The following is a 16,032-nucleotide window of genomic DNA, read 5'->3' on the forward strand; positions in this document are numbered from 1 at the left end:
CTCCCAGGTTCACACCATTCTCCTGCTTCAGCCTCCCGAGAAGCTGGGACTACAGGTGCCCACCACCACACCCAGCTAATTTTTTGTTTTTTTTTTTAGTAGAGACGGGGTTTCACCATGTTAGCCAGGATGGTCTCGATCTCCTGACCTCGTGATCCGCCCACCTTGGCCTCCCAAAGTGCTGGGATTACAGGCGTGAGCCACCGTGCTCGGCCTTTATTTTCATTTTAATGTCCATGGAATCTGTAGTGATGTCCCTACTTTCATTTCCAATATTAGTATTTTGTGTCTTCTCTCTCTCTTTTTATTTATTATTATTTTGTTGGCTTTGCTAGAAATGTATTCACCTTACTGATCTCTTCAAATAACTAGCTTTCGGTTTTGTTGATGTCCTCTATTGATTCCCTGTTTGCAACTGTATTGATTTATATACTAATTTTTAGTATTCATTTTATTCTGCCTGCATTGGATTTAACTTGTACTTATTTTTCTAGTTTCCTAGTGTAGAAGCTTGAATTTCTGATTTTGTATATTTCTTTCTTTCTAATATATGCATTCAATGCTATAAATTTTCTCCACAGCACTGCTCTTACTGTATCACACAAATTTTGATAAATTATTTTTAATTTTTATGTAGTTCTAAATATTTTCTAAATGTTCTTTAAATTTTGTTTTCCACCCATGTGTTTAATCCCGAAGTATTTTAGAATTTTCCAGCTATTTTTTGTTATTAATTTCTAGTTTAATTCCATGGTAGTCAGAGCAGACACTGAATAATTTGTATTGTTTTAAGTTTGTTATGTTGTATTTGGTGGCCCAAAATGTGGTCTATCTTTATGAATGTTTTATGTAAGCTTGAGAAGAATGTGTATTCTGCTGGTGTTAGATGAACTGGGCTATAGTTGTCAATAATATTTAGTTGATCAGTGATACTCTTGAGTACGGCCATGTCCTTACTGATTTTGAAAGAATAGATTCAACAGGCACAAAATCAATTTGCACCTCACATATTTTCATGGTCTCTTGTTGGGTGTGTATACATTAAGGAATATGTCTTTTTGGAGTATTGAACCCTTTATCATTATGTAGGAGTATTTTTTATCCCAAATAATGTTCCCTGATCTAATGTCTTCTTTTGTGCTTTTTAATAGATTAGTGTTAGAATGCATAACACTTTCTCCACCCATTTATTCTTTTAAAATAAATAATAAACTGTATTTTAAGAGCAGTTTTAGGTTCACAGTAAAACATCTCTTTACTTTTAATCTATACATGTTTTTAAATTTAAAGTGGGTTACTTGTGGACAACAAACATCTTGTTTTATAATCTACTCTAACAAAATCTGTCTTTTAATTTGTGTATTTAGATCAACAATTAAAGGTAATGATTGACATAGTTGGATTAATATCCACCATATTTATTATTGGTTTTTATTTCTTGCCCTTGTTCTATGTTTTTTTTTCTTTTGGTACATACTTTGTCTGCATGTTATTGTTTTAATTGAACAGTTGTTTATATGATTCTATTTTTCTTTTTTACAATATCAATTATAATTTTTTTTACCATGTTCAGTGGTTTCCTTGGATTTTGCAATATACATTAACAACTAATCCAAGTACACTTTCAACAACACTATACCACTATAAGTGGTTGTACAAGAATCGTATAATAAAAAACTATCTTTAATTCTTCCTTACTGTTCTTTTTATCGTTGGTGTCATTCATTTCATGCTTATGTAATACATATGTGTATATACATATGTAATATATGCATATATACATATATGTTATGGTTTGGCTGTGTCCCAACCCAAATCTCACCTTGAATTGTAGTTCCCATAATCCCCACATGTCATGGGAGGAACCCAGTGGGAGGTAATTGAATCATGGGGGTAGTTACCTGCATGCTGTTCTTGCGATCGTGAGCGAATTCTCACGATCTGATGGTTTCGTAACCCCCTATTGTTCGACACTTCTCCGTCCTGCCGACCCGTGAAAAAGGATGCGTTTGCTTCCCCTTCCACCATGATTGTAAACTTCCTGAGGCCTCCCCAGCTATGCTGAACCATGAGTCAATTAAACCTCTTTCCCTTATAAATTACCCAGTCTTGGGTACGTCTTCATTAGCAGTGTGAGAACAGACTAATACAATATATATATATGCATATACATATACAAATATGTATATATAATTGAATACATTGTCGATATTATTATTTTGAACACTATTATTAAATCAATTAAGAATTTAAAAAGTAAAAGTTGTAATTTTACCTTCACTTAGTTATTCTTAAATGCTCTTCCTTTCTTTCTACAGATCTGAGTTTTGTTTTTTTTGGTTTTTGTTTGTTTGTTTGTTTGTTTTTTTGAGATGGAGTCTCGCTCTGTCACCCAGGCTGGACTGCAGTGGCGCTACCTCGGCTCACTGCAAGCTCCGCCTCCCGGGTTCACGCCATTCTCCTGCCTCAGCCTCCCAAGTAGCTGGGACTACAGGCGCCTGCCGCCGCACCCAGCTAATTTTTTGTATTTTTAGTAGAGACGGGGTTTCACCATGTTAGCCAAGATGGTCTCGATCTCCTGACCTCATGATCCGCCTACCTCGGCCTCCCAAAGTGCTGGGATTACAGGCGTGAGCCACCACGCCCGGCCTAGATTTGAGTTTTGAACCTTTCTTCTTCTTCTCCTTGATGTTAAAAAATGTCTTTTAACATTTCTTGCAAGGCAGATACACGTAACAAATCCCATCTTTCTGGCTAAGAAAATGTATATTTCTCCTTCACTTTTGAAGAATAATTTAACAGACAGAATTCTGGTCGGCTGGTTGGCGTTTTTGTTTTTCAAACATATCAACTGTTTAAATATTTAACTCAACTTTATGTTTTCATAGTTTCTGAGAAGAAGTTTAATGTAATTCTTGTTCTCTTTTCTCTATAGATGAAGTGATTTTTCTCCGGCATCCTTAAAGATTTTTTTCTTTATCTCTGATTTTCTAAAATTTGAATATGACATACCTACGTGTAGTTTTGCTTTCTTTGGGCATTTATTCTGCTTGGAATTTTCTGAGCTCCTGCATCTGTGGTTTGGTGTCTGACATTAATTCATGAAAATTATCAGTCATTAGTGCTGCAAATATGTATTGCTTCTGTTTCTTTCTCCCTTTTCTCTCCTGGTATTCTTGTTTGTGTATGTCACATCTTTTGTGGTTTTCCCACAGTTCTTGGATATTCTGTTGTGTTTTGGTTTTGTTTTTTAGTTTTTATTTCTTCTTTTCAGTTTTAGATGTTGCTATTGTCATATCCTCCAGCGCAGAGATTGTTTCCCCAGCTATGTTAATTCCACTAATGAGCCCAGCAATGGGGTTCCTCATTTGTTTTAGAGTATTTTTTATCTTAAGCATCTTTTTATTCTTTCTAAGAATTTACATCTTTCTGCTTACATTATTCATCTGTTATTTCATATTGTTAGCAGCAGCGAATCTGTATCGGTCTGCAACGACCTCAATTCTTGCCCCCTAAGAAGAAAGAATTCGGCTGAGGGGCACAAGGCAGAGGCAGAGACTGAGGCAAATTTTAGAGCAGGAGTGAAAGTTTATTAAAAAGTTTTAGAGCAGGAACAAAAGGAAGTAAAGTTGTTATTTTACCTTTACTTAGAAGAGGGCTAAGAGGGTAACTTGAGACATCCAAGGGCACAGTTTGACTTTGACTTGGGGTTTTGTTAGCATGCTTCTGGGTTTTGCATCTCTTCTCCCCTGATTCTTCCCTTGGGGTGGGCTGTCTGCATGCACAGTGGCCTGTCAGCACTTGGAAGGGGCAGTGTATTTACTGAAGTTGCACACATGCTCATTTGAATCATTTTTCCCTTACCCGTCAAGTGTTTCTAGAGGAAGGTCGTATACCAGTTAAACTTTGCCATTTTGCCTCTTAGGGTGCATGCTTGAGCCCAGTTGCCCAACTCCTGAGATATTATCAGGAAGTTGCTGATCCCCAGCTTCAGGTGTTTCCTATCTATTGGGAGACGGCCCTTCCCTGGTGCCGGCTGCAACCAATTACTATTTTAGAGAGACAGTTTAACAACCACCTGACCATCATTGCCTGATATTTCTGGTTGGGGAGGGGCCTCACGGGTCCTGCTCATGTCTGCCTAACTACCTACTCTAACAATATTGTCTCCTTTCTTTTTCAAAACATCCATTAGCATATTAATTACAGTTAATTTTTAAATTTCTTATCTGATAATTCCGACACTCCTGCCACATTTGACTCTGGTTCTGATGCTTGTTCAGTCTCTTCAAACTGTGTTTTTTGTGTTTTGGTGCATCTTGTAATTTTTTGCAGGGAGGCAGATGATGGACTGGGTAAAAGTAACCATGGTAAATAGGCCTTTAGTAATGTAGTGGTTAGGTGTTGGAAGAGGGGAAGCATTCTATAGTTCTATGATCAAGCCTCAGTCTTTTGGTGAGCCTGTGATCCTGGACTGTGAACCTCACAAGTAAGTCTGTTTTGTTTTGTTTTGGTTTCTCCCCCAGCAGATGGGATCGAATGCCTGGAGGGCACTGAAATTAATGCATTTACCTTTGCCTAGGTGAGTCTAGAGAGAGCTGGAGTTGGATATTTCCCTTCCCCTAGGCAGGTTAGACCTGTATATAACCTGGCAGGTTGGGCTCTGGTAAATAATTTCTCCTGAGGACAAGCCTTGTTAGAACAAAATGTTCTAGAGTATTACAAAATAATTCTCTTTGCCCTCTTCCTGCTGGAAGCATGAGAAAAATTTTCTCCATTATTCACTGTGAGGACTCAGTAGAATTTCTGGTGGTAAAACTCACAAAGATCCCCCCATACATGCCCCCGGCTACGGCTGGGTCCTCCTGGAGCTTTTATCTCTCAGGCTTGTCCGTAATCAGCCTTCAGTGATTCATCAATTACAATTTAGGTTTTCCTACCCTGTTACTGGTTTCTACAAAAGTTTCTGTTTCTGGATTTCTGTTTGGGTAAAGTTGTGATTCTCTGCCATTCTCTCTCTCCGGTTTTGGGGGCAGTGACATATTCAGTGACTTCATTTTTCTCATAATCTAAGAAGAGTTATTAATTTTTCAGTTTAACTTTTTACTTGCTGGGATGGAGTAAAGACCTCTAAGCTCCTTACATGTTTGACAAGAAACTGGAAGTGCACCGCTTTTTTTCATAACTGATTTTTATACCCAGAGAAACTTTTATGAAAATAATATTTTTTTGTACCAAAGAAACATTTTCTAAAAATATCAGCAACTTTGGGTTTATTTTACTTTGTGTTGCTGCTGCTAAAGTACAGTTTGTTACTTAAAATAGTTTATAAATATATATCAATAGATATAGATGTATAAAATACATTTTTTTCTTAAAAATGCTCTTCTATTTCTCTGTGTTACATACCTCTGGCTATTTTGGTCAATATATATAAGTAAAATGATGTCTGAAGTTTTGTGTTTTTTTTTTTGTTTGTTTTTTTTTTGAGACGGAGTCTTGCTCTTATTGCCCAGGCTGGAGTGCAATGTTGTGATTTCAGCTCACTGCAACCTCCGCCTCCCAGGTTCAAGCAATTCTCCTGCCTCAGCCTCCCAAGTAGCTGGGATTACAGGTGCCCACCACCACGCCTGGCTAATTTTTTTTTTTTTTTTTTTTTTTAGTAGAGACGGGGTTTCACCACGTTGGCTAGACTGGTCTCCAACTCCTGACCTCATGATCCTCCCCACAAGGCCTCCGAAAGTGCTGGGATTACAGGCGAGAGCCACTGCACCCGGCCTCTGAAGTTATTTTCCTGGATCATTATGTGATGTCATAGGATCTAAGGTAATTATTTTATTATTATTCTACTTTACTGAGTAATAATTAAAATAAAACACCATTAATATTATAGAAATAATATCATTATTTTTATTAAGAAATAAACTTAATCAGTATCTCTGTTGTCCCCTTGAACTAGTCAAGAACTTTAATTTCATATCATGTTTTCTTCCCCCAACTTCCTAACACATCTCTTATTGAAAAGATCTCAGGTTTTACTTTTAAATATGTATTAGTCTTTTCTATAATACACAATTCTTTAGATTCTAAATTGATTGCTGCCTGTGCTCAATATTCCTTGTTCCAGCATCTTTGCTTGTTTCTTCTGAAAGATTTTAAGATTGTTTCTCTTACTCTGGCTTTTGATGCATTTGGATTGGAGACTACATTCTCCATCTTGCTTGATAATCAGTTTACTTTTTTTTCTTTTCTTTTTGTTTCTTTTTCTTTTTTTTGAGATACAGTCTAGCTTTGTCACCCAAGCTGCAGTGCAGTAGCACAAACAGGGCTGGCTTACTGCAGCCTCGACCTCGCAGGCTCAAGCAATTCTCCCACCTCAGGTTTCTGGGTACCTGGGACTATAGGCATGTGCCACCATGCCTGGCTAATTTTTTTTTGTATTTTGTAGAGAGGGAGTTTCACCATGTTCTCCAGTTTCATGATGTTCCCCAGGATGGTACTGAATTTCTAAGCTCAAGCAATTCACCTGCTTTGGCCTCTGAAAGTGCTGAGATTACAGGTGTGAGCCATTGTGCCTGGCCAATAATTGGTAGACTTTTCTTTTTTTATTTTCACATTTTTAAAATTATACTTTAAGTTCTAGGGTACATGTGCACAACATGCAGGTTTGTTACATAGGTATACATGTGCTATGTTGGTGTGCTGCACCCATTAACTCATCATTTACATTAGGTATATCTCCTAATGCTATCCCTTCCCCCTCCCCCTACCCCACAACAGGCCCCCGTGTGTGATGTTCCCCTTCCTGTGTCCAAGTGTTCTCATTGGTAGACTTTTCAATGTAAAGAATGATGTCATCAGTTCTGTGTATTTATGTCATTGGTTGTAGTAGCAATAATAGTATTGTTATTGGGTTATTACCTCTATTACATTATTTTTCTTCCTTTGAAATGAGTATTAAAATTTGGATCAATGTTGTCTTTTAATTTTTCTGATGTACTTTATTTTGTACCTTTCCCCTGCATTTTGGAAAAATTGATCAGATTCATCTTCAGCTGCAGCTATTCTACTATCCCATTCATTTACTGTGATTTTACTTTTGGCAATCATTTTCAAGATCTCTAGTTGGTAATATTTTTTACAACCAAGTTATTGATTCATGAATATATTAAACTCTCTTATTACTCTGAAGATACTAATACATTTCAAAGTATCTTTTTGCACTAGGAACTCTAGTTCCTAGGATGATGTATGTTTATTAAAGTTGGTGATTCTCTCTCTCTCTCTCTCCCATGTTACTTGTTTTCTTCAAGTGTTTGATGAATCCAGCTTGTCTCTTTATCTTTGTATTTAAGAATGATTACCCTTTCTGAGAGTATTATTTTTTTCTTCCTCAGGCTATCTTTAAATTTGTAAAAGAGAAAGAAATGTGATATATGTCAGATTATCCTAACAGCATTGTAAATATGAGTGTTTCTTTATCCTTGTAAATGTAACCAATTATCCAAAGCCCACCCTGTGTCTTCAGGCCTAAGCAGTCAGTTACTGCTTTTTTGTTGGAAAAGAAGCCCATTTTACCTGACGGTTCATTGTCTGACAACAGAGTAAGACATGTGGGGAGAAGATCTCTCTACAAATTACCCTAAAGGTTGTCCTAGGACACTTCCCTGCTTAAGGCTCTATTACTTTTGAACTTGGCAAACACACCTACAGAGTCATTTCTACCTTTTACAACTGTGCTTCCTTTTATAGTTATAATCAGTATAAAATATATTATACTTTTTGAACTTGGCAAACACAGCTACAGAGTCATTTCTACCTTTTACAACTGTGCTTCCTTTTATAATTATAGAGCTACGATCGCAATAATCAAATTCTGTTTTATAATATATGTATATATTATAATCATGATCTATTATAACTTCTACTCAACAGAAGTGAAGTTTCCCTGTTTTTCAGCAGTGTAACTCATTCATATTGATTAAAACTTTATATATGTAAAAAAGATAAGTACCTTATGTATCATATGTTTATAATTTTACATATATGTGTACATACATGTGTACATATATAGCACGATTTCTTTTTTTTTTAATTTTAATTTTTGAGACAGAATCTCTCTGTGTCACCCAGGCTGGAGTGCAGTGGCACAATCTCGGCTCCCTGCATCCTCCGCCTCCTGGGTTCAAGAGATTCTCCTGCCTCAGATTCTCCTGAGTAGCTAGGACTACAGGTGTACACCACCCCTCCCGGCTAATTTTTTGTATGTCTAATAGGGATGGGGTTTCACCATGTTGGCCAGGCTGGTCTCGAACTCTTGACCTCAAGCAATCTGCCTGCCTCTGCCTCCCAAAGTGCTAGGATTACAGGCGTGAGCCACCACGCCCGGCCTATATTGATTTCTAAATGTGTCAAAGGTGAGAAGGAGGTAGATATACATCCTGAGTTCACCATTTGATTTATTCTTACACTCTATCTCTTTAAGCTGAGATTATAATCACTTTCTTGTTTTTTGTAAAAAGTTGCACTTCATATAGGATACACTTAATAGAAAGAAAGACTGTAAGTATCTGCCATTCCAGGAATTCAGAATAGCATATGCCACGTTTGTGTGTGTGTGTGTGTGTGTGAGTTAAAGACCTAAAATAAACCTTCTAAAAGAAATATTATTAATCAGTATTCTTTTCTTGAAAAAAAAAAGTTTTGAAATATATTGCTCACAACATTTTTATCAGTATTAGAATAATTGAAATTAGACTTATGTGCTTTTAATTTGTTTAAGTCCAGTGTTTAATTTTAGAAGTCTAATGCGTTACTGGCATTTCATAAATATTTTATGACATGTACATTAGTAAAGATATAAATAACTAATGTCTTATCACAGTTACATTTTATCATGAAAATATTAAATTGTCTATAATAAACAATGTTCTTGAGCATATTCCATTAACTACTTTTCTGGCTCTCTCTTTAATGGCGGTGTTGTCAATGCTGTGAAATTATCATGAATTTACCCCATAGGCAGCTGTATTTTCCTAGAATTACTGACCTCAGGATTTATAAAGAGAGATAGAAATCCCCTTATCATATGAATTAATTTAGATGGGCTTACTGTTTGCAAAAGAAATGTTCCTAAAAAGAAAAAAGAATTTGTTTAGAAAAGTTATTGATAAAAATGCAATCTTCCTTTGTAACTTAAGATGTAAAAACCTTATCAGTTGATTTTGTTTTATATAAAAGTTAAATTTTATTCATACTTGTTTTTAAATTGTTGCTTGACGGTGGTTAAAAATGAGTTCTGGCCAGGCGCGGTAGCTCACGCCTGTAATCCCAACAGTTTGGGAGGCCAAGGCGGGTGGATCACATGGTCAGGAGTTCAAGACCAGCCTGACCAACATGGGTGAAACCCCATCTCTACTAAAAATACAAATATTAGCTGACGTGATGACACGTGCCTGTTGTACCAGCTACTCGGGAGGCTGAGGCAGGAGAATTGCTTGAACCTGGGAGGCAGAGGTTGCGGTGAGCCTAGATGGCGCCACTGCACTCCAGCCTAGGCGACAAAGCAAGACTCCATCTCAAAAACAAACAAAAACATGAGTTCTGAGTGCAATTCTGGTTTTCATAATTCTGAGAACAGTTCCAGAATAGAGTTAAATGTTGACCTTGACAAAACAACCCAGCCTCTCAGTCCCAATGGTTGTGTGTATCTTATTTTGAAATAAACTACAGCATACAGCACTGACAACGTATTTTTTCAGGGTACCTTATAATCAGTTGAATCAAACACATCACATGGACCCCGGAGAATGAAACTTCTCTGGCTTTGAGCTTCTATCTATTGCATATACTGGCCATAGATATATCTACTCAGGCAACTGAAAATAAACCTACTTGCTTGGAACCTGGAAAAAAAATCATATTTTGTACTAAAAGTAGGTTAAGTATGGACCTAACTGAATCAAATCAGATTTAACAAAACTTTACATTGACCAAGTATAAAAGAATAATAAAATAATTTAAAAAGATAAAAAATGGATACTACAGTACTCCATGAGTTTAAATTTTTTTTTACCATCTTTCTTCTGTTTAATCTTCATTGTCCAGAGGAATATATACAAAATTTTTACATTTAAAAATAATTCATATGTTTAACTGAGGAGCAGATTGAATTTGAACATTTAACTGGAAACTTGTTCACTAGTACCTACTTCTCATCCATGGTTTCACTTTCCATTGTTTCAGTTACTAGTGGTTAACCACAGTCCAAAAGCATTAAATGGAATATTCCAGAAATTCATAAGTTTTTAATTGTGCACCATTCTGAAAAGCATAATGAAATCTTGCTCCATCTTGCTCAGCATGTGAATCATTCCTTTGTCCAGTGTATCCACGCTGTATACATTAGCTGCCCGTCAGTCACTTCGTAGTTGTCTGGGTTATCAGTCAAAAAAAAAAACCCATAGTATATGTGAGCTTTCATACTATCCATGGTTTCAAGCATCCACTGGCGGTCTTAAAACATATCTCCCATGAATAAGGGGCGACTACTGTATTTGGCAGCTGAGTCTTTCTGAATGCATTTTGACAGCCTTTTCAATGGCAGTGTTTATAGCAAAACCAATCATTATACAACACATAATGATCCAACAGCCTGAAAGCTATAGGTCCACTGTCTACCTAGAAGGAAGTAGGTAATTAAATATACAAGTATTATGTGGGAATGTGGTTGTGAAATGTTTTTATCCATGAGATTGAAACAGATACAACAAAAATAATTAGAAATATGCCAGAATCAATGTTTAACCTATTAGATTTAGAATCGGAAAACATAGGTTTCTGCTATTGTTTATTAACTTTGAGGTTTTGGACTTCAGTTTCTTAAGTGAAAAGAGGAGATCATCATAATAATAATAACAATAACAAATTTAATTGAAGGAATGATAACATCAAATGAGTTAATGTACATGAGAGTGTTTTTTAATTAAAAAATTAATAAAAATATTCTCATGTATATTAACTCATTTCTATGTTTAAGAAATAGAAATCCACATTAATTAATTTTTAGTGGTATGATCCAAAATTAATAACAAATGAAAAAGTAAACATTATGAAACCAGTTTCACACATAAAACAGAGGGAATAATTCTCCATCCTTAATTCACAGGCCGTGTGTATTAGTAAAGGATGCGCATTCAAATTTAAAGCTTTGATTTTTCGGGGGGATTTTGTTTTTGCTCTCCGGGATTACCCAAAAGGGAAATTGTCTACCGTGATCATTTGTTTTTAAGTTCTCAACTTATTCCATAGGTTAAACATTTTTGGAGAAAACTCCACATGGCCATCTTTACAGTCTTATGGGCATTGGATTTGGAATCTAAGAGATCTGGGGTCTGTTTACAGGTGTCTCAGTAACTGTGTGGCTTCAGGAAAATCGTTTTAACCCATCTGAGTTGTGCCAAACCCAGAGTTTTTTGAATAATACATTTGAAAATGCTCTGTTGACTGTCAATTTCAATAGCAGCGCAGAGCAGCAGAGTGTCTCTGTCTGGGGTCAGGCAAGTGAGAGATTCTGGTTCTGCACGTGCCTCTCGCTCCCTTTGTGAACCCGAAAAAATCTCAGATCTCTCTGTGTACCTCAGTTACCTTATGTGTAAAATAAAAAGGTTTCACTAATCACCTCTGAGATTCCTTCCAGTATTTACACTGAAGTAATCCATGATTCACATTTAATGATTGTATTTTAAAATGTTTAAGTGGCTAAACATTTTGGGGGAATTGCTAAAGCAGAAGATATATATTTGTTGTTATTGTTAGAGCAGGAAGATAACGTTGGTGAAAGGACAGTAATAGCAGGGACTGCCATGTGTTTTTTAATTATGTTTTTCTCTCCACTATCCCCTTTTCTACTCCTGAGCACCCAGGAGTGTGGTTACAGGAGGCCTCAGGGACTCAGACACAGAAAAGCACCTGCACGCCAACTTTCCCTCACTCTGTTTTTCATTTTCCGCCTCCTGGGTTCAAGCAATTCTCCTGCCTCAGACTCAGGAGAGTAACTGGGACTACAGGCGCCACCACCACGCCCAGCTAATTTTTGTATTTTTAGTAGAGATGGGGTTTCACCATGTTGACCAGGCTGGTCTCAAACTCCTGACCTTAGGTGATCTGCCTCCCAAAGTGTTGGGATTACAGGCGTGAGCCACCACACCTGGCCAGATATCTTTTTATTCCTTAACTTTTCATAGTTTCTAGTCTTTAATGGAACTTCCAAAGTTTTTGGTGCTTGTGTCAGGCAGGCAGGAAGGATCTATGGGACATCAGAGAGGAGAAAAACATAGTCCCACATCTTGGGTGGCATCATGGAAGGGTTTTCTGAAGAAAAGAAATGATAAGAAGACAAAAGACTGCAGGCTGCAAGGTGTCCCTGGGGAATTTGTCCTAGAAAAGATGTTCGGCCCCACAATTTTCAGGTCCCCAGGATCCCATGGTCATGTTCTTCATGGATATTCATCCTCCCTGGTTTCCTGGGCCCTGTCAATCAGGATCTGCAAGTGTCTATCTCCCACTTCGGGAGGGTGAGATTTTTCAAGCATTCCAAATTGAAGCACATTTTCTTATACAAACTTGGTTATATTTGACAGCCAGTTACTGTAATTATTTTTGTAAAGTATTATAGGTACATTATGGGCTGAGTTGCTTTGTGCAGGACAAACTTGGATCCTGAACCAACATATATGCCATGGTTTCCATAAGAAAATGGGACTTCAGTTCCAAACTACTCCTTCTTCTCTAAGTTGAGGAAGCCTTGGAGATAATTTTAAATATTTTCTTCGGAGTTTATAGTATAAAAGGCATTTGAAAAATGAAGATCTGAGCTAATCCTGGTTTGGTGCTTGATATCTCTGGTAGTCTTGGGAGAATGGCTTAATCCCCCTAAGTTTCTGTTTGCTCAGTAGCAAGGTGAAGTGGACCATTTTTACCAGTTAAAAGTGACATGCCAAGCGTCTTGTAATAATCCTTACTTTTGATTCCATTCTCTGGCCATATTGAATTACCCATTTTCCAGAACAACCATGCTTTCTCACACCTCTGACATTATATCCCTTCTGCATCTTTAAAGATTCAGCTCAGACATCACCTCCAGGAAAGCCTTCCTGAACACCACACACATGCACAATACAAACACACCCAATACAGCCTTCTTTGGAGTTTCTACAATGCCTCGTGTTCACCACTGTTACGGCACATATCTCACTGCATAAAATCTGGCTTATTTATTTATTTATTATTATTTTTTGAGACAGAGTCTCCCTCTGTCACCCAGGCTGGAGTGCAATGGCGCAATCTCGGCTCACTGCAACCTCTGTCTCCTGAATTCAAGCAATTCTCCTGCCTCAGCCTCCCGTAAAGCTGGGATTACAGGCGCCCGCCGCCACACCTGGCTAATTTTTGTATTTTGGGTAGAGACGGGGTTTCACCATGTTGGCCAGGCTGGTCTTGAACTCCTGACCTCAGGTGATCCACTCGCCTCAGCCTTCCAAAGTGCTAGGATTACAGGTGTGAGCCACCACGCCTGGCCAAAGCCTGGCTCTTTAGTTGCCATCTCTCATGTTTCACCATAAAATTTTTGAGAATATGGGTCATATTACTTGGTTGTGTAGACTGGAATATTTGTGTAATAAATACCTCTTGCAAAAATGAATAAATGCATGAATAATAAGAAAGCTTTTTCACTCTTTCTGCACTGTCTCCCTGCTAGTTCACTGCTCTGTTTACCTGTGTTAAACATATCCCAAGTTGGCTAAGTAATCAAAGTTGCTCTACGTCCCAGAATCTATTAGCTGGAGCCCTGCAGGATGAGACCATGCTCCTTCCCCCTTACTCAGCCAGTCATGCTGACACAACTTTGGAGGTATGGGGAAGCGCCCAGAGCCCACACCCTTCTTTAAGGCTGTACCTTACCCCTTAGGCATGAAGTGTTCCAAAGTCTGAGTCAGCCATCCCTGTCCATTCACATGCCTGGCTGCAGTCCAATACTCAGATAAGAAACCACCCAGGTGCTTGGCCTCAGAAAGCCAGCAATGAGGTGGTCTTGGCCAATGGAGACCAAATTAAACTAGTGAAGAATAAAGTAGCAAGCAAGCCCTAGATGGGAGTCAGGAAATCTTGCCTGGTTTCTGCATTGATAAAAGCTGTTTAACCTTTGGCAAGTCACTTTTTCTCTGGGCCTACTTTCATCTTCTGGACAGTTAATGGGTTGAGCCAAATGACCTCTAGAGTTTTGTTCAGTTCTCAGGTTCTAGGATCTAAAATCAAAGGCAGGCTAAGCATTTCTCATACCTGAAATGGTAATGATACTTACTTGCCTGTAGCAACCCCATCTTCAGGGGAAGGGGCAGAAGTAACAGCTTAAGTTCACTGACAGTGATGGCTTAAAATGCACACAGGATACTGTCTGAGCCCTCATTTCATTGAGGCTAAGAGCCTAAGAAAGATTAGCCTTGCTGCCTCATAAAGCTTTACGTATTAGCAGAGGGTAATGCTGTACTAGTACAAAGCAAAGGCCATGACCTGGGCTGCACTTATTATTTAAATGAGCAATGTACTACTACACATACATTGTGCAATTGCATCATATCCTTTGCGCAATCTATTCTGCAGAGTCTTCAGCAACCAGGGCGTTTGTGTCCTGTAGACAGGCTAGGATCAAACACCAATTGCTTTGCAATGGATCGATAAGAATAATATTGATAATACCAGTACTTCTACCGAGAGTACCACCTTTTATTTAACATTTAATACATCCAAGACTTGTGCAACACTCATTTTGTTCTTTTAACCACTCTGGTAATGCAATATTTTTATCCCCATAATACAAATGAAGACAGTGAAGTTAACTTTAATATAATTAAGACAAAGTATATAAACTGGCTAAGAAAGCTTGGATGACAATTTTAATCTCTCACATTTGTATAGCATTTTAAGCTTACAAAATATATCTTAAAATATAATTCTATTTAGTTTTTACTATGATGTAGCAGCTGAGTAATGACTGTTTCCAATTTAAGAAATAAAAATTTGAGATGAGGGGAGATGGAAAAATGGTAGTTCAGATCCCTTGATCTTCAGTCCTGGGCCTTCCCAGTAACCCAGCAATCTGTGCTGAGACTCCTCACAGGTAAAGTGTGGCCCAGGTATAAGAAGCTTTCTGAAAAACAGTGCCTTCAAGTCAAACAAAGCCTATACAGCTGAATTCTGGAGCTTGGTTGAAATTGTGGATGAAGCAGAAGATAGGTTGGGGTATGAACAAATGTAGAGAAAGAAGGAAGGGCAAAGATCACATTTTAATAATGTTCTGTACTGTACGTGAATAATGCCAACAGTACACTGTCACATTTGTGTTTAGCTCATTTTCAGCAACAGAGCAAGATCCCAGAGTGTAGCAAGAAGAGAGACCGTTTTGGGTGGAGATATTTCTGTTTCCGCAGGGGCTTTTATGCTCATTCAACTTGAAACTTCTAAAATAACTCATTATGTGTGGAATAGCAGGTGTTCACATTAAACATATTTGCTTGACCTCACTTAATCTATTATATAGTAAATGTTCCTCTTCTTCTCGTTTACCCAATCTTGGGTCATTAGTCAGACAGAATTAATTATTCACAATGTTTAGAAAGAAATTACATATCTGAGTCTTCACGGCAAGGAAAATTGACATATCAGGCTCCGAGTCAAACTAGGATTGTCAGAGTTGACAGTGGTCATTCTGTTACTTGGGGAAAGTCAACGTTTAGAAAATTCAGAGTTGCTCTTATTTTGTTAAAGCGTAATTCACAAAGGAAGTGTAGATAAAACTTTCATTATGAAGCTTCAGTTCCACTTCTCTTATGCTTTGGTATCCCTTAATTTAATTATATCATTCTGCAATTTCAAGGATGATCAAATTAAAGTTATCCTTTAGCAAGACTTTTTGTTCATCAAGCTGCCTCTGCCAAAAATTTCTCAGTGAGCCTCAACTCTCTTCTTCATCAG

General features: G+C 37.6%; 1 annotated feature.

Annotated features, from left to right (window-relative positions):
* Positions 15,394 to 15,603: an enhancer, noted in NCBI's record as "active region_20980". NCBI's record gives its function as "activates an Ori minimal core promoter by ATAC-STARR-seq in GM12878 lymphoblastoid cells {active_cell/tissue: GM12878}" and the evidence as "EXISTENCE:reporter gene assay evidence [ECO:0000049][PMID:35858748]".

This window comes from Homo sapiens, chromosome 3 (genome assembly GCF_000001405.40).
Source record: "Homo sapiens chromosome 3, GRCh38.p14 Primary Assembly".
NCBI lineage: Eukaryota > Metazoa > Chordata > Mammalia > Primates > Hominidae > Homo > Homo sapiens.